The sequence below is a fragment of the Homo sapiens genome, chromosome 8 (assembly GCF_000001405.40).
Source record: "Homo sapiens chromosome 8, GRCh38.p14 Primary Assembly".
Classification (NCBI taxonomy): Eukaryota; Metazoa; Chordata; class Mammalia; order Primates; family Hominidae; genus Homo; species Homo sapiens.
This window is the reverse complement of record NC_000008.11, coordinates 20,614,048-20,616,741: the sequence shown is the minus strand read 5'-3', so window position 1 is coordinate 20,616,741 and position 2,694 is coordinate 20,614,048. Positions and strand designations below refer to the sequence as shown.

General features: G+C 41.6%; 1 non-coding gene across 1 annotated transcript; it reads left to right on the top strand.

Annotated features, from left to right (window-relative positions):
- Nucleotides 1-1,815: 1,815 nt before the first annotated feature.
- Nucleotides 1,816-1,913, top strand: SNORD3F (small nucleolar RNA, C/D box 3F). Its single transcript, NR_145737.1, has one exon. It is a non-coding gene; the product is annotated as a small nucleolar RNA, C/D box 3F (small nucleolar RNA).
- Nucleotides 1,914-2,694: the final 781 nt, after the last annotated feature.

The following is a 2,694-nucleotide window of genomic DNA, read 5'->3' as shown; positions in this document are numbered from 1 at the left end:
AAAGAATACTGAAGCAAAAGTACAGTCCTATGTGGGAGGGAAATTCGAGAAGTCAGAAAAGCAAGTCTGTTTGTGAAGTTTGTTTAGAGATGAAGTCCAGCATAGTAGTAAATAGTGTGAACAGTGTTCGGGTGCAGTGGCTCATGCCTGTAATCCCAGCACTTTGGGAGGCCAAGGCAGGCAGACCACTTAAGGTCAGGAGATTGAGACCAGCCTGGCCAACATGGTTAAACACCATCTCTACTAAAAATACAAAATTTGCCAGGCATGGCGGCACACGCCTGTAATCCCAGCTACTGGGGAGGCTGAGGCAGGAGAATCACTTGAACCCAGGAGGCAGAGGTTGCGGTGAGCCGAGATCGTGCCTCTGCACTCCAGCCTGAGTGATAAAGCGAGACTCCATCTCAAAAAAAAAAAAAAAAAAAAAAAAGTAAAAGAAAAAATAAAAGAGTGTGAAGAGTGTGTATTCTGCGTCAGACTGACCTGAACATTCACTCTACATTTTCTAACGGCGTGACATCAGTTGTGTATGTCTCACTTTTCTTATCTGTATAAGGAGAATAGTGAAGGTATCTTTTCATAAAGCATTAGGGTAATGGGTAAATGATAGATACATCAAGTCACTAGGAATTCTAAGAAGGCAAGTGGAAGAAAACACTCAAGGAAGATAATCAGCATTGTAAGTTTCACATGAATAAAGAGTGTGTAGAGTGGAAAGGAAGGAAATGGCCAGGAGGCCATTGTTACTTTTCCAGGCCCTGTGCAGGCTGCCCTAGTTATGGCCTACGCTGGTTCTTGACATAAAAGCAGAATGAGAGGGCTAGGCTTGGTATTAGCAAGGGAAAGGAATTCTAAGGCATTAGGACAGACGTGGTCCCAAAGCCAAAGAACCTGAAGCTGAAAATAACCCTTCAAAATAGTCTAGACCTTGGCCTTCCACAACACTGTATTAAAACTATTTTAAGGTTAAGACCCTGGGTAGGAGGCTGAGTGCGGTGGCTTATGCCTAAAATTCCAGGCTTTGGGAGGCCAAGCTGGGAGGATTACTTTGATACAAGCCTGGGCAACATAACGATACCCTATCTCTGTAAAAACTACAAAAATTAGCTGGGCATGGTGGTTCATGCCTTTACTTCTGGCTGCTCCGGAGACTGAGGCAACAGGATCACCTGAGCACAGGAGTTCAAAGCTGCAGTGAGCTATGATCACGCCACTGTACTCCAGCCTGGGCGACAGAGTAAAACCCTGTCTCTTAAAAAATAAAATTAAAAGCCTTGGTAGAAGAAGATGATGGGTGCTATGGTCCGAATGTGTCTTTCTAAAATTCATAGGCTAAAATCCTAGCCCCCAAAAGTGATGGTGTTAGGAGGTAGGGCTTTCGGGAGATGATTAGTTCATGAAGGCAAATCCCTCATAAATGGGACTAGTGCCCTTATAAAGGAGGACATAGAGAGCTGCCTTGTCCCTTCCACTCTGTGAGGACACAGCAATACAATGCTGCCTACGAAGTCGAGAGCAAACCCTCACCAGACACAGAGTCTACGAGGGCCTTGATCTCAGATTTCCACCCATCAGCACTGTGAGAAATTAATTTCTCTTGGTTCTAAGACTATGGTACTTTGTTACAGCAGCCCAAGTGGACTAAGACAGTGAGTTATGAAAGATGAATATAAATTTTGATGTAAAAGAAAGAATTGAGCAAGATGTTTAACTCTAAGTGGAACCCAGATGCCACCTATCTTGGATGGCTTAGAAAGTTGCCAGACTGATCCGGGGCTGATCCTTTTGAGATCCCTTCTATAATATTAATAATGTAAGACTATACTTTCAGGGATCATTCCTATAGTTCATCATTAGAGAAGTTCTCTGAACATGTAGAGCACCGAGACAAGAAATAACTAAGATCAGAGGAGAACTGAAGGAAATAAAGACATGGAAAACCCTGGAAAAAAAAAAAATCAATGAATCCAGGAGGTAGTTTTTTGAAAAGATCAACAAAATAGATAGACCGCTAGCCAGACTAATCAAGAAAAGACAGAAGAATCAAATAGACACAATAAAAAATGATATAGGGGATATCACCACTGATCCCATATAAATACATACTACCATCAGAGAATACTATCAACGCCTCTATGCAAATAAACTAGAAAACCTAGAAGAAATGGATAAATTCCTGACACATACACCCACCCAAGTCTAAACCAGGCAGAAGTCGAATCCCTGAATAGACAAATAACAAGTTCCAAAATTGGAGCAGTAATTAATAGCCTACCAACCAAATAAAAGTCCAGGACCAAACAGATTCACAGCCAAATTCTACCAGAGGTACAAAGAGGAGCTGGTACCATTCCCTCTGAAACTATTACGAAGAACTGAAAAAGACGAAATTCTCCCTAACTCATTTTATGAGGCCAGCATCATCCTGATACCAACACCTGGCAGAGACATAACAAAAAATGAAAATGTTAGACCAATATCCCTGATAAACATCGATGCAAAAATCTTCAGTAAAATACTAGCAAACCGAATCCAGCAGCACATCAAAAAGCTTATCCACCACAATCAAGTCAGCTTCATCCCTGGGATGCAAGGCTGGTTCAACATATGCAAATCAATAAACGTAATCCATCACATAAACAGAACCAATGATAAAAACCACATGATTATCTCAATAGATGCAGAAAAAGCCTT